At 38.4% G+C, this 26,934-nt stretch overlaps 1 long non-coding RNA gene across 2 annotated transcripts; it reads right to left on the bottom strand.

Annotated features, from left to right (window-relative positions):
• Positions 1-8,239: 8,239 nt before the first annotated feature.
• On the bottom strand, positions 8,240-26,573 carry LOC105369618 (uncharacterized). Of its 2 annotated transcripts, XR_931581.3 has the most exons (4): positions 18,752-26,573; positions 16,862-16,999; positions 15,705-15,808; positions 13,889-14,093 (listed from the first exon to the last, which is right to left on the bottom strand). It is a non-coding gene; the product is annotated as an uncharacterized LOC105369618 (long non-coding RNA). The 2 variants fall into 2 exon arrangements; XR_001748971.3 differs by having other exon boundaries at positions 8,240-15,808.
• Between the last annotated feature and the right edge of the window lie 361 nt (positions 26,574-26,934).

Here is a 26,934-nt window from a genome sequence, read left to right as displayed (position 1 = left end):
TTTACATTTTAATAGTTGTATTTAATTTGTTTTACTTTATCAAGTTTATTTATGGAGATACAAAAATTCATTTAAAAATATATTTATTAGGGATTCTTACTTATGGTTATACAGGCCAATTTGTAATATATCAATTCTTCCAACAGAAACGCCTTAAAAAGCTGGAAAAAAATTTTTTTGAGACAGGGTCTCCCTGTGTCACCCAGGCTGGAGTGCAGTGGTGCAATCGTGGCTCTCTGCATCCTCAACCTCCTGGGCTCAAGTGATCCTCCCACTTCAGCCTCCTGAGTAGCTGGTTCCCCAGGTGCATGCCACCGCATCCAGCTAATTTTTTTGTATTTCCATATTTTTCAGGCTGCTCTTGAACTCATGAGCTCAAGTAATATGCCCCTCAGCCTCCCAAAGTGCTGGGATTGCAGGTGTGAGTCATCATGCTCAGCCTGGAAACAATATCTTTAAAAACCATGCGAAGGTTCCACTTATAGTACAGCTGAGTGAGCTCTTCTAGACCAAAACAAAACTTTCAAAGAAAAACTATATGCTGGGGCCCAAAAGTGAACAAATGCAGGCAGGTTCTGGAGGGGAGTTGGCTTTTCAAAACAGGGAGGGGTATAGAGATGATTTTATTGCTTTAAAAATATTTTTTAGCTTGAGGGCAGACCACAGTTGGTACCACATGAGAGAACAAAAACTTACAGATATAGAAGGAGAAGTAGACAATTTACAATAAAGCTTGACATTTTAATAGCTCTCTTTAAGAAGTTAGTAGAAAAAAATGATCAAAATATCAGTTAAGGTAAAGACAACACTATTGACCACCTTGACTTAATCACTATTTGTAGAATAGTAATTAAATGTGGCATACACTTTATTATCAAGGACCCCTGGTATATATTTACCAAGATAGACCATATGCTGGGCCACAAAACAAGCCCCAGTACATTGAAAAAATGAAATCACACAGAGTATATTCTCTGACTACAATGGAGTTAAATTACTTACCAATGAGAACAAGAGATCTGGAAATCCCAACGTAATTGGAAATTAAACAACACATGTAGGCATTACATAGGTGAAAGAAGAATTCACATAGGAAATTAGAAAATATCCTGACCTGTATGAAAATGAAAATACAATATAGCTAAATCTATGGGATTCAGGTGAAGCATGGTAGCTCATGCCTGTAATCCTAGAGCTTTGAGAGGTCGAGGTGGGATGACTGCTTGAGGTCAGAGTTCAAGACCAGCCTGGGCCATGTAGTGAGACCCTGTCTCCACAAAAAAAGAAAAGAAAAATCTATGTGATCCAGCTAAAGCAGTGCTTAGAGGAAAAGTTTTAGCTTTCAATGCTTATAAATAGAAAAGAACAGAGCAAACCAAATCAAGTAGAGCAAAGAAATAACAAAGATGAAATTAATGAAATAGAAAATAGGAACTAAAATTTGTTCTTTAGATAGATCAACAAAATTGATAGTCTCCTAGCTAGACTGGTCTACAAATATGAAGGAGAAAAAACTTAGCAATAAAAGATCTAAAACCTCAGATCCTACAGAGGTTAAAAGGAAAACGGGACTTCCATGAAAAATTTCAGGCAATAAATTTGACAAATTAGGTGGAATGGAAGCATAATTTGAAAAATACAACTTACACTTATGCATGATCAAGTAGAAAATCTGAATAGCCTTTATCTATTAGAAAAAATTAATTTATCATCAAAAACTTTCCCATTAATTAAACAGTAGAAAAAGATGTTTTCACTGTTGAATTCTGCCAAAAATTTAAGGAAGAAATAGCATCAGTCTTGAAACAACTCCCATGTTGTTATATGTGGCGAGTATAATCCTAATACCAAAACCTGGCAAAGAGACAAAGACATTACTCTCCTTAAGAAAAATAAGTGAAAAATAAAGTTGCAGACCAACATCTTTATAAACAAATGCTGAAATTCTATATTTGTCTGTTCTCACAATGCTAATAAAGACATACCTGAGACTGACTGGGTAATTTATAAAGGAAAGGGGTTTAATTGACTCACAGTTCCACATGGCTGGGGAGGCCTCACAATCATGGTGGAAGTCGAATGAGGAGCATAGTCACGTCTTACATGGCAACAGGCATGAGAGCATGTGCAGGGGAACTCCCATTTATAAAACCATCAGATCTCGTGAGACTTATTCACTATCATGGGAACAGCATGAGAAAATCCCACCTCCATGATTCAATTACCTCCCACTAGGTCCCTCCCACCACATATAGGAATTATGGAAGCTACAATTCAAGATGAGATTTGGGAGGGGACACAATTGAACTGTATCACAAAATATTCATGAATATCATGAATAGAATATATATATATATATATATATATATATATATATATATATGGACCAAGTTGGGTTTATCCCAGCAATGCAGTCAGTTAACATTGAAAATCAATCAATGTAGTTCACCGTATTGATAGGATAAGGGTGAAAAATCTTTTCAATAGATTCAGGAGAAGCATTTGATAATATTCAGTACCTATTCATGATAAACACACACACACACACACACACACACACACACACACACAGCAAAGCAGGATGCAAAGGGAACTTCCACAATCTGATAAAAGGTGCAATCTGATAAAAAGCATCCATAAAACTGACATAATATTTACTAGTGAAATGTTGAATTCATTGCCCCTAAGATCAGAAACAGGGCAAAGGATACAAATATCTCAGGTATCCCTCAAAGGAGAATGAGTAAACAAGCTGTCGTGTATTTGTATAATAGAATATTCCTTAGAATGAAATAGGAATAAACTATGGATACACAGAGTACTATGGATGAACTTCAAAAATGTTATGTTGAGTTCAAGAAGACTTACAAAAAATTATACATTTTATGTGATTCCATTTTATGAAGTTTTACAACAGGCAAAACTAACCTATTGTACAAAAAATTATAATAACAGTTGCCTCTGTGGGGATGGGGCAGGAGTGAGGAATAATGGGAAAGAAGCACTAGGGGACTTCCTGGAATGATAGAGGCTTGGATTGTACAGCGTATACCCTTGTCTGTCTATGTTCATTTAAGATTCATGCAAATTGTTTATTTAAATTTTATATCTAATGAAAAATATTTGTAAAACAATGTAAAACACTAGTTAATGAAATGCAGGCTGAAAGATTTAAAAGGGAATGTCCTCATATCCTTAATGTATTTTGAAATTCATCAAAAAGTAAGATTAATTGACAGATGGACAGAGGGACAGATAGAGGGAGAGACATATAATAAGTCAATCAGGATGAAATTTAAATTATAGAATCTGATCTGTGGGTATAAGGCTGTTCACTGTAACACACTTTAACCTATTTTTTATATCTGAAAGTTCCCATAATAAAATGGTGAGTAAAAAGGAAAACATACTTTTGAAGTAATTCATCCATAGCAGCATGAATAAGTGAGGATAAGATCCCAGAGAAAAAGGGAAGTACAGAGGAGTGAGACTGATCTTCAGCTCCATGTTCCTATTGAGGCATATGCTGATTTGTAAGTGGAAGCTGAGAGGATAAAAAATGGAGATGAACTTTTAGTAATCTTTCCAGGCTTCAGAGACAAAAATTGGATCTCAAGATTCACTGAAGGAGAAGGGCTTTCCATTTGGATTGTTTGGCTGCAAACAATCAAATGGCTACTTCTTAGGAGTAAGAGAGAACCAAAAATAGAATCACTTTTGCAATAATAAAAAAAATTTTTCAATCAACTCAATCAATAGGTTTAAGATGATTTTTTCTTAGCCTGACAGAAGAAAAGGAAAGATGAAGAAAGAGTATACCATGCATCAAGTTATTTGTACAATGCTCCATACAGTATCTCCATCATTCAATAATAAATTATGAGGAAATATGTCCAAATGATTGAGAAACAAATGAAAAAAATCAGACAATAGAAAGAAAATCCAAGAATATCCATATATTGAAGTTATTAGACACAGACTTTTAAATAACTAATCACTATGTTCAATATATACATAGCAAAAGGAATAATTTCATGAAAGACTAACAATATATTTAAAAGACTCAAATGTAAATGTTAGAACTAAAAACCTACAACAAACTTAAGAATTCAGGTTAAATGCAACTGAAGAGATTACTAGGCCGGAAGATAGATTAGTAGAAAATATCTAGGCAGAAATGTGGAGTGAAAAATAATGGAAAATGCATAAAAGAATGTGAGACATATGATACATAAAAAAGTTATAATACATATATAATTAGCATTCCAGGAAAAAAGGGAGCGAATAATGAGTAGCAATCAGTGAAGAGATAATGTGAAGAATTTTTGAAAATTGATGAAAGATACTAACCCAGATTTTCAAGAAGCTCAGCATGCCTGAAACAGGATAAATAGATAGAAAACCACACTAAATCTGATGAGTCACAATAAATCTGCTGAAAATAAAGACAAAACCAAAAAAAAAATTACCAGAGGGGAAAAAACACATTACTTTCAATTGCAACAAGACTAATGACTTTTTAACAGAAATTGTGGAAGTCAAAAGACAAGAGAATGTCAAAGTGCAAAAGAAAATAACTGTTAATTTCAAATTCTTCATCCAGTAAAATGTTCTTTAAAAATATCTCAAATAAAGTTATTTTCAGATCATTAAAATTTGAGGTAACTTTTATTGGAAGATGTGCACTAAAGGAAATATTACAAAGAGTTATTCCTGCATAAGAAAAATAATTTAATATAAAAGTATGGAAATGAGAAATAAAGCAACAGAAAGCAACAGAAAGGTTAAATATGTGGCAAATATGCATGAATATTAACTTTACAAAATCACTAAATATATTGTAGAATTAATTAATGACAGAAATAGCACAAAAGGCAGTAATTTGTAAGTAGGAAAAGGAGTCTAAGGACCTTTCATTCTTTGGGAAGTAATAAAAATACTAATATATAGTAGACTTAAAAAATTCAAGGTAGCATGTTGTAGTCTCTGTGATAACCACAAAATAAATGGTAAAAGAATGTTTATTTAAGATGCTAATGTGGGAGATGAGAAAATATTAATTAATTCCACAGAAGGCCAGAAAAGAGTGAGAATTGAATATGGTACAGATGAAGCACATACAAAATCAATAATAAAGTAGTAGAGAATTAAACCCAAACATATTAGTTATGTATATATTAATGAATAAATATAAAGAAATAAAGTAATTAAATAACTCAATTAAAGCATACAAACTGAGTTTTTAAAAAGACTACTACATGGTCATTACATAAAGAAAGGTTGAAGGCAAGAGGTTTGTAAAACATATACCATTAAAACATAAATTTAAAAAGGTGGTACAACTATACTGATAACAGGTAAAATCAATAGTAAGACAAATCTCATTACTAGAAATGAAGACTATTTAATAACAATAAGTTTCAATACACTTAAAATCTAAATATGCATCTACCTAGTAACATGCATATGTTTTACATATATGATATAATAGACACACATTCAAGAATAGGAAAATCCCTAATGATAGTGGGGGATTTTAATATACACTTCTCTGTAACTAACAGATCAAGTAGAAAAAAATTAATAACATTATAAAATATTTGTACAATATGATAAATAAAGTTGAACTTATTGATGACAAATATTTAAAATACTGCAACTTCTATGGACTAACCTAAGGTGCCCTCAAATTCATATGTTGAATTCCTAACACCCAATGTGATGGTACTTGGAGATGAGGCCTTTGGGAGTTAATTAGGGGCTAGGGTTTGAATTTTCCCACCAAAACTCACGTTGATATTTAATTGCCATTGTAATAGTATTGGGAAGTGGATCCATTAAAAGGTGAATAGCTCATGAGAGCTCCTCCCTCAGGGGTGGATTAATGCTGTTATCCTGGGAGTGAAATAGTTATCACAGGAATGGATTTCTGATGAAAAGATAACTTAGGCTTGCTTGCTAGGTGTTGCTTTTCTGCCATGGAATGATCCTCACCAGATACTGGTGCCTGCTCTTGGATTTCCAAGCTTCCAGAATCATAAACCAAATTAACTTCTTGTCTACATAAATTACCAAGTCTGTGATATTTTGTTCTAGCAGCAAAAAGTGGACTGATGGAGACATTATGTTTAGATGACCTTATGAGGGGGGGCCCTTGGAACGGTATTAGTGCCCTTGTAAGAAGAGACAACAGAGACCTTGCACTCCTCTCTCTCTTGCTCGCTCTCTCACTCTCGCTCTCTCTTGCTGTCTCACTCTCGCTCTGTCTCTCGGCTATGTGAGCAAACAAGAACACTCTCCCCAAAACCTGACCATGCTGGCACCCTGATCTGAGACTTTGAGTCTCCAGAACTGTGAGAAAATAAATTTCTGTTTCTTAAGCCACCCAGTCTATGGTACTTTGTTATGGCAGCCCAAGCTGACTAATATAGAATCTCACAATCATTTTCAAGTGCACAAGTGACAATTAATAGAACTGACCGCAGACTGGTTCATAAAGCAAGCATCAAAACTTTTCTACAGTTTAAAATCATATAAAATATTTAATTTGACTACAGTTGAGTTAAACTAAGCAATCAAATTCCTAAGTGTTTGGATATTAAGCAATACATTTTTATATAATGCATAAGTTAAAGAATTACAAGGTAAATAACATTTCATACTGGGTGATAATGAAATATGATATAAAAAAACTTGTGACATACAACTAAAACCATGATTAAAGAAAATGGTATGTCCTTGAATGTATATATTAGAAAAAAATAAAAGCTAAAAATTATTTAACTAAATACCATCTCAAAAAGTTAGCAAATTGGCCAGGCACAGTGTAATCCTAGCACTTTGGGAGGCTGAGGTGGGAGGATTGCTTGGACTCAGGAGTTCAAGGTTGCAGTGAGTGATGATCATGTCACAGCATTCCAGTCTGGGCAATAGAGCAAGAGTCTGTCCTCATCACACACAAAAAATTTAGCAAATAAAGAACTTATTGAATGCAAAGAAAACAACAGTAAGAAAACACTGCACAGAAGAGCAGAAATTAATGAAAGAGAAAACAAACAGCATAGAGGAATTCACAAATTTTAACATTTTTCAGATGTCTTTATAAATGACTAATATAATTGATATTAAACATAATTGATCTTGGCAATGCTAATCAATAAAAATATAGAAGGCACAAATTAACAATATCAGGAATAAAAAAAGGGGAATCACAGATCCTAAAGACTTTAAATAAGGATATATAAAAGGATACTGGGAACAAAATTATATCATATTTAAAAATGTGTATAAAGTGTACAAATTCCTAGAAAACAACCATTAATTCTTAAAAATGACATAAATTACTTTTAAGGAAATTGAGTCTGTAATTAAAATCCTCTTGAAATAAATTCCCTAGCCTAGATAACTTCCCCAATGAATTCTTATAAGTATTTAATGAAGAAATAACATCAGCCTTACACACAGTCTATTAGGGAATAAAATGAGGGAATACATTCCAAATTATTTATGAAGCTAAAACCTGTAAAACATACAAGAAGAGAAAATTACATACCAGTCTCTCTTATAAATGTAGTTGCAAAATTTTTCATTATTAGTAGGCAAAATCCGAGACACAAGAAAGAATAAAATAACGTTCAATTTGTGTTTATTCCAGAAATGCATGATTGATTGAACATTGAAAAAATCAGTTTAATTCAGCACATGAAGAGCACAAAAGAAAGCAAGCATATGATCATCTTAATAGATGCAGAAAAATTATTTGGTGAAATTAAATTCTCATTCATCATAAAACTAGCAAACTCAGCAAATTAAAAACAGAAAAAAGTCTCCCAAGTCTGATAAAGTGTATCTACTCACACACACACACACACACACACACACACACACACACACATACATACCACCTCCCACACAACACCTACAAACCTACAGCAAACATCTTACTTAAAGATGAAGTATTGGGAGCTTTTGTCTTGAGAATGGTAACAAGACAAGGACATCGGCTAACCTAGAGATCCTAGTCAGGATGAAAAGGCAAAATAAATGAAATATTAGTTGGTGCAAAAGTAATTAAAAATAATGGCAAAACCCGCAATTACTTTTGCACCAACCTATATGATAAATTGGTTGAAAAGGAAGAAATAATCTTGCCATTATTCATGGATATAAAGCTGTCAAAAGAATCTCCTGATAATGTATTTAGAGAGTGAATTTAGTAAGATCACTGCATACAAAGTAATCACACAAAAATCAGCTTTATTTATTAGCAGCAAATGATTAGAAAATTAAATCTAAAAATATGCCATTTCAACAGAATAAAAACATTTTGTATCTAAGAATAATTTTAATAAAGGAAGTACAGCACCTCTACCTGGAAGAGTACAAAGTATTATTTAAAGAAATCAAAGAAGATAAATAAGAGATACAACATGTTCATAAATTGGAAGACTCAATATCTTAAATACGTCAGTTCTTCCCAAACTGATTTATGCATTCATTACAATGCCAAACAAAAATCACAGGAAGGTTTTTGTATGTGTATGTGCATTGAGGTATGAAATTGATGAGCCGATTCTAAAATTTATACTATTAAATTTATTCTGAAAACCACCAAGTTAAGCCAAGTCGATCTTGTAAAATAGCAAAGTTATGTGACTTTCACTACCCGATATTCTGAATCAATATGAAGCTACATTGATTGAGACTGTGGCATTTGCACAAGAATAGGCTAATAGACTAATGGACCAGTGTAAGGAATCCAGAGCAAACACATAGTATGTGGGCACTTATGACTCTGCAGAGAAAGGGGAAAGGATACATTTTTAAACTAAATTGGGTTGAGTAAAGTATATATCCCACGTGAAAAAATATGAATCTTGCTCCTACCTCACCCTATATACAGAAACTAACTACAGGTGAATGGTAAACCTAAATGTAAGAGGTAAAATAATAAAGCATATATAACATATTGGGAAAATTTACTTATGACCCTGAGATAAGAGAATATTTCTTAGGATAAAAGGAAAGCACTAAACATAAAAAGATTGACAAACTGGACTGTATTAACTTAAAAATGTTTATATAAAGGTACCTACCATTAAGAAAGTGAAAGAGTAATTCCCAAAGTGAGAGAAGCTATTTGCAATACATGTTATAAACCAAGGGCTTGTGTCCAGAGCATATAAATAACTACTACAAATAAATCAGAAAAAAGTAAGATGATCCAGCAAAAAAAAAGGGGGTGGGCAAAAGACTTGAACCAGCACTTCACTAAATAGAATTATCTAAATATAAAGCTGCTCTACCTCAATAGCCAAAATGGGAATGCAAATTAAAACTACAATGCAATACACTTGCACCCAAATCAGAATGGCTAAAAATAAAAAGACTGACAATAGCAAGTGTTGATAAAGATGTAGAGCAACTGGAACTGTCATGCACTACTGGTGTGAATATAAATTGGCACAGCATTTTAGAAAACTATTTTATCAGTATTTATTAAAGCTGAACATACACTTATCTTTGACACAGCAATCCCTTCCAAAATATATTCTCAACAGAAATATGTTATACTTCCACACAAAAAATATGCAAAAAATGTTTGTAGTAGCAGTATTTTGGAAACAATCTAAATGCTCTCAACTGTAGAATGAATGAATACATTGCAGTGTATTCATACAATGGAATACTCTACAGCAAATGAGTTAATGAATTACTGCTGCATGCAACAAACTTAGATAAATCTGACTACCAATATGTTGAAACACAAAAGCCAGGCACAAAAGATTACATAATATCTAACTTCAAAAAGCCAGGTGTGGTGGCACATGCCTGTAGTCCTAGCTACTCAGGAAGCTGAGGTAGGGCGATCATTTGAGGCCAGGGCTTTGAGGCTACAGTGCACTATGATTACGGTGGCCACTGCACTCCAGCCTGCACCACATAGTGAGACCCTATATTATATATAATACATATCTATGTGTGTGTGTATATATGTGTGTGTATATACAAACACACATATATACATGTACATATACACACATGCATATATACACATATTAAAAACAGAAATATGTATACATACAAGTATGTGTGTATATATATATATATATGCATGCAAAGATATACATATATACAATTTCATTTTTAATAAATTTCTATAAGAAGCCAAACTAGTCTGTGGTTTTTGAAGTTATGACAGTGATTACCTTTGAAGAGGAGAAAAGAGGTGTTTAGAGGGAGGTAGAATAAGGACTTCTCAGGTACTGGTACTCATTTCTTGATCTGGGTGATAGTTACATAGGAATGTTTACTTTTTGAAGATTTACCAAGTAATACATTTGTGATTGGGGTACCTCTCTGCATGACTATTAGACTTCAATAATTTGTTAATAAAAGAAAATGTTCCTTTAATTAAGTAAAACGGGAGATATGTATATCTGGGAAAACCACTATGTGGTTTGCAAAGGACATAAGTTTGGGAAATATCGGACTTCTAGCAAGTTATGCTCTGCATAGCCCAGAAAGATGCCTATTTTCCCAGAGATATGCATATTTGGGAAAATCACTAAGTGGTTTGCAAAAATCAAACATTTGGGAAATATTGACCTTCTAGCAACTTATGTTCTACATAGCCCATGTTTTTTTCTGCATCTTTTTGGTGTCCAGTTAGGCTGGGGACAAAGAGAGCCTGTCCTGACTCTAGTTATCTCCTGCTCCTCACATGTTGCCCTTAGGGCCATATCACAGTTTAGAAAGCATCTTGTCCAAACCCTCTAACTTCACAAGCAGGAGAAGTTTCAAATAATGTTACATGTCTCCCATCTCTAAATCTAGCCTTCATTCCAGTTGATTTCCAATAAAGCTTGGTGACTTTAGCGTATAACCCCATCCTGCTCCCACAAAATACCTCCCACACTCCCTCTTGGATGACCTCTATCCTGAAATGGGCTAATAGATGTGAGAGAACATAGGATGATTTAAAAAAAAAAAAGAGGAAAAAAAAGGAAAACAACGGCTATAGAACCAAACAAACTTGTGTTGAATCTTAACATTTTTAAGCCAGTTTCCAGCTGGAGATCTTGGGCAAGATCTTTAATAGCATGTAATTGCTTCTCTGAGCCGATGTTTCCTCATCTGTAAAATAAATTGCTGTGATGATTAAATAGGATAAAAGTTGTGAGGCCCTTGGTAGTGTGCCTGCAATGTGGGCACCACAAAGCTATGAGCTCTGCAATGTCTTAATATTTAATTGCTTCAGCTGAAGGATTAGGAGGGAAGAGGTGACCTCAAGGTATATTGTGTGTCTCAGGCACAGTGTAATTAATTATTCACCACACACCAGGCAGATGATATCATCATGTGATGGGAAGGGCAAAGTTGACTTTCTTGAGAACATCTTTAATATATCCTTTATGGAGCCTGTAGTTGAAAAATGTTTGTTGAATTAAGTTCATGCAAAGGCATTGTCTCCAGAAGTCCCCTGATAAAAAGATATCAACTCATACGGGTAGCTCATTTGTGCTCATTAACACATATCAGTTTATCAGATTGACTAGGGCAGGAAAGGAAGGTACAGGCTGTTGTAAAGAGGTGGTTATCCTGATTAGAGATGCCTGTCTGGATGATGTCCCCCAAGAGCCATATGTGAGCAGGAGAGAGAGTTTTGCCTAACAGTGAAGAACACAAATTCTGGAGTGCTACTTTGGGTTCAAATCACTTTAGCAGCTATACAAATTTAGAGGAATTACTGAACTCTTCTGTGACTCTGTTTACACATCTATAAAATAAATATGACAATGATAATACTAGTACCTGTTTTATAAGGTTTTGTGAGTATTGAATGAATTAGTATGTTAAAGTACTTTGAAACAGCACCTGCCATAAAATGAGTGCTTCACGAATTGCAGTTATTACTATGTTGAAGAACTAGGATGGGTGAAGGGAATGTCAGAGAGGAGGGTATAGGGACCGTTCTAAGCAATATCTATGAGAATTGTGTTTTCTTCTATTTCTGGTTCCTTACTTAAATAGTGCTCTTGAAGAAAATTGTTCAAAATTGTGTTATTGTTTAGCCCAAATCCGTTGCACCATTGATAACTGTTTCATCTGATATGCCATTCAGGGTTTAGAAAAGTAATCCAGTAAAATGGAAAGAGCCCAGGACTAGGGTCAGAAGACAGAGGTTTTAAAATTGTCTCCATCATGGATACAACATGTAATACTCATTAAGCCACTTTCCTTGTGTGAGATTCATTTTTTTATCAGCAAGATGAAGGTGCTATCTAGATAATCTCTGAATTCCTTCAGGTTCTAAAATCTTACAGTCCTTTTTCATTTGCCAGTCGGTTTCAGGTTCTGAGATGAAGAATGTGTTGGAGACATGCCGTGACTACATGATATTGCCAGCTGACCTCAGGAGACATCTTTCCTGTTCTTTGTCCTGTGATCTTGAGTGAATAGCTAGAACTTTCTGATCTCTTGACAAACAGATAGTGAGGGGGGTTTTCACGGGTGTGTCTATGGTGCAATAAATAGATTCCAAATTTTTCTACTTGTGGCCTCCATGGGAGAATAGGCGGAGTCAAGAGGACACGAGGCACTTTCTAAATTCAAACCTCCTGGCTCTGCTGAACCACTAAGTGAATTATCATTTATGATCTTAGACAATTGTTTATAATCTTTGAAATATCATGAAAAATGGATTAAATATTGGATATGGCCAAATGTTTTAGTTTCCAAAACAGGAGAGAAAGATGACTTTGGGATACTATAGATTAAATGGAATATTCTAGAATTCAATATTAAATATTATTTAATATTCTAGAATATTATAAAGCATTTGAATATTAGAATATCTAGTATCTATAAAATATTTAAATATGCTGAGGCCATTTATAATGAGAAAAAGTTACAAACACTACTAATTTATGTCTATATTTTAGAATAGATCATTGAATTGGTGATTCTGAATTTTTAGACTGGAAAGTGACGGTCTCTAGGGTCTGGGAAGCATTCACTGAAAACATGTCACAGAAGCTGGACTGGCCAATAGGGAATTTGACTGTCTCAGTAGGTTGAAGTCAACCTGTAGTCAGGTCACAAGGGAAATTTACAGAGAGCTGCATCCACGTTCCACACTTTTCATCAATGACTTGGAAGAAGACAAGAGTTCATGCTTTCCAAACTTGTAGATTTCTCCATTCTTGGAAATATTTGTTCATATAATAAATGATAGAAATAACATTCAGAAGTTGGAGATTTGTAAAGCTGAGTAAAAGTTAGCAATATCAAATTAAAAATGAAAGAAAAAGACAAAAACTTCAAGTCTTGTGTTTAGATTCAAAAGACCATGCGGCCAGATTAAGGATGCAGCGATGTGGCTTAACAGTGAGCAGTTCTGCAGGAGTGAGCAGAGGTTCAGTGGAATGCAGACAGAGGCAAAGACGGAGAGGCTTCTGTGCAGAAGCAAATGAAACCTGAGACTGCACTGGAAGAAATCTAGATTCCATTTGGAGAAAGTGAATCCCGGGGAACTGCACTGGTCAGATGTGTTGGAGGTAGGGAGAGATGGAATTGGCAGAGGTCCTTAAAGCCTGCAGTCTCTCACAACCAATGAATGAAAGGGTCCCCATGAGTCTCAGGGCAGAGTTTCATCTCCCTGTCTTGGCTGTGAGTGCAGGAGTTTCTTTTTCTCTCTACTGGACAGTTTATCTTGTACATAATTATACCCAGAGCACCACCCCATTAGAATGATAAACACCACTGAAATTAGCCCAATTTATTGAGTAGTTCCTTTAAAAGCATTTTAGCGGTAGCTGAAAAAAAGCTGTGGAAGCTAGCTGCTTTATTACCCAAGGGACGTGCTCAAGGGTCTTTTTACACCCACAGGATGAAGATGGATTCTGCAGGGAAGTCATATATCTCTCTGAGGTAGCATCAAGGAGGGGAGAACTGTGGCTTATCAAAGAGATGAGAGAGGCTGGTAGTTAAGAGCTGGGCTCTGTGGGTCAAATCCAGCACAGGGACAAAGAGCAGCTCAAGGCCTTAGCAGCTGGGTGATCTTGGGTTTCTCTGTGTTTCTGTTTCCTTGTCTGTAAAATGCAGAGCATGCTTACAATAATAGTACCTACCTCACAGAGGTGTTATGAGTATTAAATGAGCTAATATGTTAAAGTGCATAGAAACAGCTGGCCTTGATCTAGTCACTTAATCTTTCCGATCTTTGATTTTCTCGTCTGTAAAATCGGGATGATCCATGTTACCTACTTTTAGAGTTTGCTGTGAAGCTGAAGTAAAATCATGTACAAAGTTCTTCCCATAGTGTCTTGGCACTTTGTAAGAACTTGATAGAGATTAGCCAGAGGAAACCATAAGATTTCTGTAGTCTTTTGGCCTGTATATCCTATTCTAAAATGAGTTTCCTGATTTGATGCCAAGATCCAAAAATGTCATCATGCTTTACACAGAATAGTGACTGACTTTATTACATCCATTAACAGAATTTTCATGACAGAAAGGTACAAATTCAAATCATTCTTTTAAATGGATGCTTATTTCGATAATCCTAACACGTACATCCACCTAAAAAGTGATAGCCCACGTATGTACACAACATATGTGTCTGTGGAATTCCTCAATGCTGGCTCAGTAAAAATACAAATGCAGCAATCTGTGGGCATCTTTCCGCGTGCTTAGGTTCGGTGGGGACGTGCTCTGCTCCCGTGCCTCTGGGAAAATCAGGACGGATGGGCTCTGCAACGGTGTCTCCTCCCATTCAGATATCCAGGCTTTTGCTTCACTTACTGTCAAGGATTTTCTCTCTTTTCTTTCTCTCCTTACAAAACTTACCCCCAGAACTCTTGCTAGAGTAGCAAGGAGTGAGGAATTGGACATGGGCTTTGCATTGCAATGGCTCACCCTTTGCTGTCTGTGTGAACTTGAGCAACTCATGTCACCTCAGCTTCTTAACTTACAAAAAGATCCTTTCAGAATTAAATAATATATATGAAATACTTAATATGATGCCTGGCCATCAACAGATGCTAACTGTTTTACTCTTCTCTTTCCTCTCCTGTTATTGATCTTCATTTGCCCTTCTATACCCTTACAGTGCTCAAATCCAGCAAATTTTATACAATTGCTAGTTAATAGATGTTTGAGTGATTTAATGGATTGGCTGCCAGTTCTGTGTTTTCATAGCTTTTGGATGCTTGGTTATCGTAAATGTTTGAGCTGAAGTTCCAGGTACCCGTGCAGGTCAATGAGCCATATAATTGGTCCTAGGATCTTGGTAGATGATCACACCGCATACAACATGACATCCTCTGTCAGAAGATGACAGGCAGTCAGGTGTGGCTCTTTCTCTGGAGTCATTGGTTCATAGTTCCAATGAGGTATCTATTATGCAGGACTTTAACTCATCCATTTGTATTTGCCTGGTCCCTACCAGACAGCAAGAGATTTTGCTGGACCAGGTTATAACCATCTGTGTAGCATCAATGCCTATCATCAGCTTGACACATACAAGGTGCTTGACAAATGCTGAGTGAGGGAATGAAAAGCTTTAAGAAAAAAAATCAAGTTAAGTGGGCCTTCTTGAAAGGGGAACATTCTCTGCTCTGCCATCTGTAGAAGACAGGTTTTTGCTCCCAGTGGTGGAGAAGCCCCCTCTGATCCAGTGGGTGAGACCCACCTTGACTCACCTCTTAAGTCGTCCCCAGTACCCATTTTCAGGACTTGGTCTTGACATTCAGAACTGGACACACCAGACAGTTAGCAGAAGGCACATGTTTTTCTTCCAAGAATACTGTAATGAGAAAGAGAAGCTATAGCTCAGTTTTCTAAGAATTAATTAAATTATCCAACAGCTAACATGGCCACCAAGTTTCCCTGCATATCTTCCGGCAGCTTCTGATGTCATTCCTTTCTTCCCTCAGTATGGTTTCAGTTCAAATACAAGGGAAACCAATGGCATTGTGCTGGCATTCACAAAAAGGGTCTGGCCAATGACCTTCCCTTGAGTCTGACTTGACTGGCATTTATCTGTTCCGAGAGATTAAAAGGGCATTGGAAGTCTTTTTGGGATGCCTCAAGCCTTTGCGGTGAGGGCAACCTCTACCCCCGACCCTGTGGCTTCCTCACTGTTCCACAATGCCCCAAACCTCTGCAGTCATTTCGTAAGTGGAATCCCCGAGTCTCTGCCTTCTCTGGTCCATTCTTCACACAGCCACCTACAATCATATGCCTTTAAAAAGGACTACTTGCCACTGGAGGCCTGTAGGATGAAATCCAGATCCTTAGCACATATGTCCAGCCTTTTAGACTCCGGGTCCAACCCACCTTTTCTCTCCTCTCCTAACCCTCCCCCATAAGACAACACCTTACACACACAACTTTTTCACTAGGATCTTCCCATGCCTGTGCTTTTGCTTCATCTGTTCCCTCTGCCTAGAATTCTCTTTGCATGTTAAACCTCTACAGAACCTGAAATTGTAGAGGTTTCCCCATACACCTGAGAGAAGGTCAAGTCATCAGACTTGTAGGAAGTACCTAGTGTGACCAAAAGTGCTTCAACTGTGATTCAGCTTGTTGGACCTTTAAACAAATTGAGGCTTTTTTTCATGTGAGTTGGATTAAGATGCCTGTTTTATCATCAGTAAAGGGAGGTGACTTGCTGTTCTGGGCTGAACTGTGTCTCCCCCAAATTTATATGTTGAAGTCCTAACCCATAGTAGTTCAGAAAGTGACTGCATTTGGAGAAAGTGCCTTTAAAGAGGTGACTAAGTTAAAATGAGCCCTTAGAATGGTCCCTAATCCAGTCTAATTAGTGTCTTTATAAGAAGAGGAAATTTGAACTCACAGAGAGACACGACGGATGCACGCACATGGAGAAAAAAGGCCACGTGAGGACACAGCGAGAAGGAGGCCATCTGCAAGCCAAGGAGAGAGGCCTCAGAAGAGACGAAACCTGCTGACACCTTGCGCTTCGGCTTCTCCCCTGCAGAATTGTGAGAAATAAATTTCTATTGTCTAAGTCACACAGTCTACAGTGTGTTGTTACGGCTGTCCTAGCAAATGAATAGTCTAGCAAGAGGGAAATTTTTATTCATCTTTAAGTTCTTAGCATTTGGAGTTTCTTGGAACAGAAGATAATCAATAAGTGTGTATTCAATGACACAGGGTATCTGGGACTGGCATTATCCAAGGGGAGTTGGATGTAGGTAACACATTCTGAGTAAAAGGAGGCATCTAGCCATAGAGGAGATCTAGGAAATTCCTGAGAGTGTAGGGCACTAACAAAATCCTAGGGGGTTCAAGGCATTGCTGTGCATCCCCACCAGCCTGGCATATGCTGAGCTACCCTCTGAAGAGCTCCCTTCTCTCCTGAAGTTCTCCCTATCACGTTGAGATGACAGTGAGTTTCAGGAGTGTGGGCTTGGTTTTCCTTTATCATGAAGAAGTTAGAGGTGGTCTCCTTTTTTCATGTCAAATTTATTAGTATAACCTCCACCCCACATACCATCTTCTATCCCTTAAAATAGGACATTCTTCTCTAGTGAAATAATATGCCAGCAACAAAGACAAATGGAGAGCAGCAAGAAAAAGAACTGGAGTGGGGGCGGGTGGTGGCTGTGAATTGTTTTCTCTCTTTCCCATATAAATATAGTAATAGAATGTTCGAATGCATAATAGTGCTTTGGGTAAAGATCCCAGCCCATTTTTAGGGGAAGAGTGAGGACTCTGCTGCTTTTTTCTTAGCCAACTTCTACTAGAGGGAAAATTTATCTTGGAGCCAAATTATGCCCAGGGTGACCTTTTCCCTCTCTTTCTCCTCAAACCACAACATTTTCAGATTGTTTTCTGGGGTTAACTTTCCCGTTTCACACTACCTGTTGTAATGTTCCTTCACCTACATCCTTATCCCATTTTCACGTGCATAATCTTGTGGGCTCCTCTAACTTATACTCCTGGATATTTAAAAAATATATTCACAGAGCTTTTGTTTTAAGATATCACTGTCCAGCTTAGTGTCTGATGCCCAATAGGGTTCTATAAATGTTTGTGTACTATATGAATGAAAGACGGATATTAAGCTTTTCTTCCCTACCCCCACCCTGTTCATACATGCACACACACACACACACACACACACACACACACACACCCCTTGACTAGCTCTCTGTACACATCCTTGGTTGATTGTGGCTGAAGAGCCTGCCAACCTGGCTCAGTCTGCAACTTTAAGACACAGGGGAAAACAGTGAATTGTGATGCTCCCAGGGAACTTAGAAGGTCAAACACTGAATGATAGAACTGGAGAGAAATTAAGGCCATTCCCCACTACTGACAGAGCCAGAATGGAATCAAGGCCTCTTGACTTCAGTTCTGTTTAAGCACTGGCAGCCCAGCCATCATTTGAGGCTGCCTGCTTAGGGAGGCTGGTTTGCTAGCTTGCTCAGCGATTCCAAGATCTATTTAACACGCTTTGAATAAATTCTACAAAGGGTTGGGGGAAGAGGAAATATAGAAGTAGAGCAGACCACAGGGAAGATGGTAACAATGACTGGCCCTCCTAAAGCTCTGTTGGGCAGCCTGGCTGGGGAACTTCTCTCAAATAGCCTCCTTCCCTGTGCACATACATGCATGTGTGCACACAAGTAATTCTCCATTCTTTACTCTTTTCTTGATAGCACACCAGGCTCAATGGGCTGCCAAACTTTCACTTGTCTGACAGGGTGTCTTCACTCACATTTGTCTTTATGCAGGGTCTCATGCTCTGTACTGCTAATTCTTTGTCAGTTGTATCAGAACTGCCCCATCTCAGTTCTTGTCATGTCAATCGCTCCTATTCCAGGAAAAAAACCATTATCGGCACAAGAAATGAATGGCAGCATGCCAAGTATTGCCAGAGGCTAATGGGGAAGAGATTATTTTAAGGGGAAGGGGCCCTCTTAGAATATACCACAGGTGTTTCCTGCATTTTAAGCCGGCTCTGCTGGGCACATCGGGCGGCAGGCAGCCTGCTGCAGAATTTCCATCTCGCTAAGAGTTCAGAGAGAAGACTGATTAGACCTACATCTTTAGCATGGCAAAAGGAACATCCCATCTACTTTGGAAAACACATTCCCTTCTAGATCTATGCAGTTGCAACATTTAAGTATGCATCAATCTGATCATTTCATATTCAGTCAATAACTCACTTAGATGCTGGTTTGTGGTTTCTTAGTGTGCAATTCTTCAAGAGAGCAAGACTGTACCTCCACTTCTCCTTAAGGGTATTGAGACTAATTATCTCAACCCTTCATAAGCTCTCTGGAGTTGATGACAGCCGGTCTGCTAAAGTAAATTGGACAATGCAGCTGATGAATGAAGCAACATTAATTAATGAACAGAGAATGAATAACTTGTGGTAATTCATTCATTCAGCATATATTTACTTGCAAAGCATCTTTGCTTTGTTTTTCTCAAGGAGACTCTGCCATATCCTGTGAAATATAGAAAAGTAAAAATGTGTTATTTTTAGAAATAATGGGCTAGAGAAGCAAGACCAAAAATTAGGCTCCCAATTTTAAGCGTCCTAAGTCAGAGCATGTCATATGTGATGTAGCACGGACATTATATTCCACCTTTATTCTTTGTCACCTTCTTCCATGGGCCCAGGAAGCCCTGCTATTCTTTTGTGTGGCTAATACAGGGATTCCTAAGGTTCCTCCAAATTCATATGTGTCTCAAGCATTAGTTTTAGAATGAATTACTTGGGAACCATTGATTTTGTGGAAAAGCTCAGGCTTTTGAATCAGTAAGACCTGGATTTCAATTTTCCAGTTTGGGCCAATTAGCTCATGTCTGTTAGTCCTGTTTTCCTCATCTATAAAAGGGGGACGATTGTACTTACCTTGAAGGGCTGTAAATAGATGTGTGTGCTTTATGCGACCACAAAGAATGGAATGGAGATATAAAAAATGATTCAAAGAATAAATATACCTCCCTTATAGCAAGTGATAAAAGAGCCCTTCTTGAGAAGCATTTTTGGTTAGAGAGTCTACATAGCTTGAGCTTCTCTATTTTATGCTTAATCAAAACTCCAAGAAAACTCTGAAGGACTGCACATCTTAGCCAAAGACAACTGTGCACTAACCTCAGTAATCTTCCCCAAATATCCGGCAATTTCCCAGGCTCTCCGGTGAAAGCCTGCTTGGTTTGCATTAATTTAATCAGCCATGCAAAGGAAACAAAGGTGTTGCCTTTGGCTTTGAGGAATTTGTGTTTTGCTGTTTTTAGAAGGGAATACTACCTTATGGAATAATATCAGCGACCGATCATGTAACATTAGACCTGGAAGAGGCCTTGGAGAAAATCCAGTTTAAGCTCAGGCCAGACTTTAAAGAACAGGAGACTAAGACTCAGAGATGGAAGGTACCTTGATCAGAGCTACACCAATGTTGTAGTTGGTGACAGATCACGGGCAACAACCCAGATTTCTAGTTCAAGCTCTATCCTGTATATGTTGCTGCCTTATCTTTTTGGTTCTGGCATGGCAGTTCTGTGGTCTTTGGAATCCAATATGGTGTGAGGTTTGTATTCATCATTTATTTTTAAACAGGGGTGATTTTTCCTATTGCTCTTATTTTAGCCTCTGTTGCTTCAGGGTCACATTGAAATATAGAGATGAGTGAATGGAACCTGTGAATCCAGCTCTCAGTCTGTCATCTGGCTACCTGCACTGGTCCGAATTAACTGCACAGTGGACAACGGTGGGCTTTACTTGGTGCTAGCAAATAGTGATCCTTTTTCCTCACCCCCTTGTCTGGGAGAGTGAGCAGTCCCCGCCTCTCATTTAATAGGGGCTCCATGACATCTTGCTAGAAGATACAAAGGAAGAATGAATGAATAAATGAGTAAGTGAATGAATGAATTCCCATCTATTAGCGTTCCACTCCATTTTCTTTACCCTTACTTTCTTATTTTTTGTTTTCACAGTACCTAGAATCACAGATTTTTAGAACTAGAAAAGAAACTTTCTAGATTACAGGTTTGGAGAGAAAAAGTGCCTGGTCCATGGGAGCAGAGAGACTCAGTGTCAGGGCTGGGCCTGGGTTCCCGGTCCAGGAACTGTTTTTTCTATGACTTTATTTCTCCTGTTCTGGTGTCCTCCCTAGGAAACATCTTCTACCTTAGCCGGAAAATATGTTCTAGGAGCCACTTCACAAGCTCACAGTAAGGTATGCTCCAGGGTGGCATCTGCATCAGAAAAAGCTTAAATAGCTAGAAGAAAGGCAAGTGTGCAAAGCACGGATGATCTCCTTTACTGAGAGACAAACATCTGCCTATTCCTCTAACCAGAAGGGCCACCCCAGCCCAGCTGGGACACATGGTGAGTAGACCCCCTCAGAGTTGCTGAGTACTGGAGCCAAGGAATGAGGTGAAAAGCATCAGCAGCATTCCTCAGTGCATGGCACATTCCAGTTTACTGCTTACTTTATATGATACTCATAGGTCTATAAGGTTGGCAGGGTAATACATTACCCATTCTTAAAGATGTGGAAACTGAGACTCAGAAATTAGAATGACTTGGCCAAAGTCTCGTAGTTACTGCGATAGAGTGGGGACTGGTGTCTGACTGATGGGTTTAGGATGAGATAGTAAAGTGGATGCATATTTTCATTTTCCAAAGCTGACATCACAGAGAACAGCCACTACTTTTCACTTTTCACACATTCCTTAACACCATACTGTGTGAGAGAATTTGAGTGAGAGGATTGTGATTCTAATATTGATGCAATCAGTTTTTTTCCTAAGACTCTCAAGAAGAGGCCATAAAAATTGCAGCATTTGCAATAACAAGACAACCTGAGATATAATCTTTTGTATAAGATAAAGTGTTTTCTCTACTTTATAGCAGTCCAGAGGCGAGCGGCTCAGAAGAGCAGGGCAGCTTTGCTCCTTGAGGTCGTAGAGGGGCCCAGATTTCTTTCACGTTGTGTCTCCCTCATTCCCTCAGGTGTTGTCCTCCTCTGCATGATAGAAACTTGGTCTTGAATAAGTCTCTCTTTTAAATAAGAAGTGAAGACAAGCAGTTGCCTTTAACCAAGTGACATAGAAATTGCACCTTTCTTGTTCTTACATTCCATTGGCAAGAACTTCGAGTCGTGGACTATGTCCATGTGCAAATCCTGAGAAATATAGTCTGTAACTATGTGGGAATGTGTCCAGCTAACTTTTGTGTGTGTACTGACAGTGGGTGGTGGGATAGTGGTGTTGATTATACAACTAAAATAAAGAAAGAAAGTAAATCCTAGGGAGCAGTTAGCAGTCTCTAGCACGATGGTTGAAAAAACAGGTACTGCTCTGAGCCTAATAAGAAAAATAAGAATAGTGTATCTTCATTGACCACATACTGAAGGCCAAATGCTGTGCTAAGTAGTTTAGGAATACTGTTTTATTTAATGCTCAAAAAACCCTGTAACTGGTGTACTATTATTAGTCCTGCTTTACGCATAGGAAAGCTGAGGCTTGGCTCACACAGCTAGTAAGTGACAGAATCAAGACTGATATTCCAATCTAGCTAACTCCGAAGCCCACAGTCTTAATTTTCACGCTATATTTACTTATTATTTAAAATCTGAATTCAAAACTAATAATTCCTGTTTAACAGGATAGCTTGGGTAACCTAAAAAACTCACACAAAGAAAATATCCATTGACTGCTGTTCTTCCACGGTTAAACAGACTTCATCTAGAAAAGGAATCAGAATTGCCGTCCCACTGACTAAACCCGTGCAATCCAAAGTGGCATTTATAGACAGTTCATTCATTGTCTCATTTATTCATAAAGCAAAACAATGTTTGGCACCCTCGAGGTGGCAGGTCCTAGGCTAATCATTGCGTATTCAATGCTGAGCAGAATAGACATGATCTTTGTCCTCAAGGAGCTTATAAACTAGAGATGAAGTTGGACATTAAATATCTAACAACAACAACTACTACTGCTAATAATAATACTAATCCCACAACTACTAATTGCTATATGGAAAAATCCATCTAAAAAAACAATTGAAAAAGGCACTTCTTTTAAACTGAGTGATCTGGGAAGACTTTTCAGAAGAATTAGGGCTCCAGGGAACAAAGTTTCACAACCACTGTTTTTGAGTTTTTTTTGTATACTAAATATTTTAAAATGTGCCTTTATTAAAATTTGTGTATAATTTAGATGTCACAACTAGTACAGATCATATTTCTTCTCAGTGAGTTGAAAGTAGTGCTATGAAAATGATGTTAAAAATATATTTTTTGAAAAGAAGTAGCTTCTTAGCTATGCTATAAAATATGAAAAAGAGGCATGAAAAGAGTATAGGAGGGGGTCTCCAGGCAGAGGGCACAGCCTCTGCAAAGGCCTTGGGGCAGGAGGGACTTGGCAGGTTCAAGGCATCATAAAGAGAGAGACTAGCTGGAGCTTAGTGGGTGGAGGAAGCCAGGAGGAGCTGAGGATATTTGAAAGGCAGAGGTAGGCCGCCTAGGGCCTTGGAGGCTGTATGAAGGAGTTTCATTTTTATCTCACAGCAATGGGACATTTTCAGGAGTGAAACCATCCATTTATATTTTAGTAGGGTCTTTCTTGTTGATGTATGGAAAGGAGATAGGGGAAATGCGAGGGTGAAAAGGAAATAAAAGTTAGGGATCTGTTGGCAATAGTTCAAGAAGAAATGATGGTGGCTTGAATTAGGGAAAAGGACCAGTTTAAAGTGATGGATTGGGCTGGGTGCGGTGGCTCATGCCTGTAATAATTCCAGCACTATGGGAGGCCAAGGCAGGCAGATCACTTGAGGTTAGGAGTTCGAGACCAGCCTGGCCAACATGGTGAAACCCCCAACTCTACTAAAAATACAAAATTTAGCTGGGTTTGGTGGTGCATGCCTGTAATTCCAGCTACTTGGGAGGCTGAGGCAGGAGAATGGCTTGAACCTGGGAGGCCGAGGTTGCAGTGAGCCAAGATCGTGCCACTGCACTCCAGCCTGGGTGACAGAACGAGACTCTGTCCCCCAAAAATTAAAAACAAATTAATAAAAAAAATGAAGTAATGAATCAAGGTGATAAGCAAGGGGCTTAGTAAAGATTTCAACAAGTACAGTGGCTAAAAGACAACAGATTTAGGCTGGGCCTGCTCTGGGTGAACATTCTACTCACATGTTGCAAGGGCTCAATGACAAATCCTACATGAGGTGGTGGATCCTTTGGTTAGAGTCAGTTCATCAGATCAACCTGGGGATGTTGGGAACAGAGCATCTCAAACTGCACCTATCAAGAGCCATTGCTAAATCAGGGGAGAGTGATAGTGTCCCCGTGGGAACCAGTGTTAAAGAGAAAACAAGCTAGAAATTACTGTGATGTCATCTGCTTAATCATGAAAGCTAACATGAGCATTTTTTCTATTTCATAATATATGTATGTATATGAATATATTACATCATATATCAATCTAACATAATATTACCATTGTTAATATGAAATTATCTCAAGTTACTTATAATCAAGTAAAATTGACCATCCAAGAAGTATCTCATGTATACTATGGTTTCATGCACCTTCTGGCACAAAGCCAAACATTCCCAGCTGTGTATGTCCCCTTTTCTGGGAAATATTGTCAATAAATGAAAATTCAAATAGGAATGAGTAGATCGAGCTCCACCATCATCTCAGATCTTGGTGAGACAGTTTTCCCATCCCTGACACGATGGTAATACTGCCGCATCTATGAAGCCCTCAGTGACCACTGATTCAGTGCCCCACCAATACTGCACATTATTTTACTGGTCATCTGAGTAGGCATTGTCTGTCTCAACAGGAACCACGGTACCTTTCTGCTCCTAAGCTGTCATTACGTGTGCAGAACAAATTAAGCTAAGCAGTTAACAGTAAAGCTGTGATAATATGGTGTGTTCCTGGAACTGACCCAGGACACACATTCACAGGCTAACAGACACGTGCAGGATTCTTGTCTGAGGAGGAAGCTGCCTCCTCAGTCCTGGGCTCCAATTCATAGAAGGGGGAATGGGAGGCCTGGCTGGGAGGTGACCTTCATTAGCTCTGAACCGGCACTTCTTCCTCTTTCTTTCCCTCCTTAGAGATTTATTTATTCATTTGCCTTGGCGTAGTTAATGGGGACTCAGCCTGGAAATGGCGGGTGGCCAGCAGGCTGCCGTCGAAGGAGGGTGTTATATATTGCTTCCTGAAGGGCGACATCTGGGGGAGGGAGGGAGGGCGGAGGGAAGAAGATGGGCGCTGAGTCGGCTCTAATTGAATACCCAGTGAGCAAGATGGATGATCCCCGGTCCCCCACTCCCGAGAGCAATTAGAACATGAAGTAGCAGGAAGAAACATGAGGAAGAAGGCTGGGTGGGGAAGGAGACCAGGAGTCAGGGAGACAAGACCCAGTGGTGTTCAAATCTCAGAGTCAGGCAGATAAAAGCCAGGCAGCAACAATGGGACTGGTTGGTTGGTGGGGGAGGGCTGCCTCACCTGCCTAAGGGCAAACACACCTGGACGGCAGGATGGCTGGGTGCCATTGGAAAGGCCCTGTGTTTCCAAGTTTGATGATGCATTCAATTCATTATTTAGGTTTAGGATTTTGAGTCCTCTTTGGAAGGCAATATTTTAGGCTGTTGCCATTGTTTTATACCACAGTGTGAATGAGTTGTGGGGAGTGGAGAGGGAGGGTGTTGGGAGCTAGTTAATACTGGGGAAAAGCAAGTCAGGGGATAGGAAAGGAAGGCATAAGAAGGAGTGAAGGGATCAAGGACCCTGAAAACAGATCATTTTATCATCCTAATCCTGGTGCTCTGTGGCTGAATCTGGATGGCTCAGTGGCCTAACAGAAACAGACATGACGCAGTAAGGATGCTCGAGGGAGGTGCAGGGGGTGTCGAATGGGCATGGGTGGGGAGCAGGGCTAAAGATTTAGGATTAGTATGTAGAAGGCTGGTTCTGGGATAAGGAAGTACCTAAAGTACAGGTTTTTAGAGGAAAATTGATGGAAATTTGATTCAAAAGGAAAATGGGTGAGTGGTGGGCAAAATGTGAACGGTCTTCTACGTTTGTTACAAAGTTTGGATGTGATTTTATAGATCTCTAGGAAGAACCACCAGAGCATTTTGTGAAGGGGGGAAGAGAAGAGGAAGTTGAGAGGGAGGGTGAAGAAAGCCAGCATTTCTTGCATGCCAGCTGTATACCAGCGTTTCATCAAAGCCTGCCATAAACCAGACTCTGGGCCTCACCACATCTGCTCTCCAGAACCCCCTGGGAAGGATGGTCTTACATTCTCCTTTCTTTAGGCAAGAAGAGGCTGTGAGGCTATACAGCTTGCCCAAGGACATTCTGTTGAAAGGTGGTAGAGGTGAGATTCAAACCCAGGTCTCTCTGACTCCAAAACCTGTGTGTTTCTGTGACAAGAGTTGGGGTGTTTTAGTAATACAGAAATTGTCTGCTGATAGGTCATATTTTCTTAATGAGTGTATTAGTGTCCCATGGCTTCCATAATGAATGACCACAAAGTCAGTGGTTTAAAATGACAGAAATGTATTCTCTTACAGTTCTAGAAGCCAGAAGTCTGAAATCAAGGTTTCCTGCTTCTGCTTTTTCCAGCTTCTGGTGGCTTCAGGAACACCTTGATTTGTGGCAGCATAACACCAGTCTCTGCCCCTGTCTTCACATGACCATACCTTATGGACCTGCCTCTTTCTTCTCTCGTAAGGACACCTGCCAATGGATTGAGGCCCATCCTAATCCAGGATGGTCTCACACTCACATCCTTAACCTTAATGTGTCTATAAAGACCCTTTTGGTAAATAAAGTCACATTCACAGGGACTGAGTTTACATATCTTATAGGGGCCACCATTCAGCTATAGTGAGCTTGGTGAAAATTATATGGAAACCGG

This window comes from Homo sapiens, chromosome 12, assembly GCF_000001405.40.
Source record: "Homo sapiens chromosome 12, GRCh38.p14 Primary Assembly".
NCBI lineage: Eukaryota > Metazoa > Chordata > Mammalia > Primates > Hominidae > Homo > Homo sapiens.
This window is presented reverse-complemented; position numbering and strand designations above follow the sequence as displayed.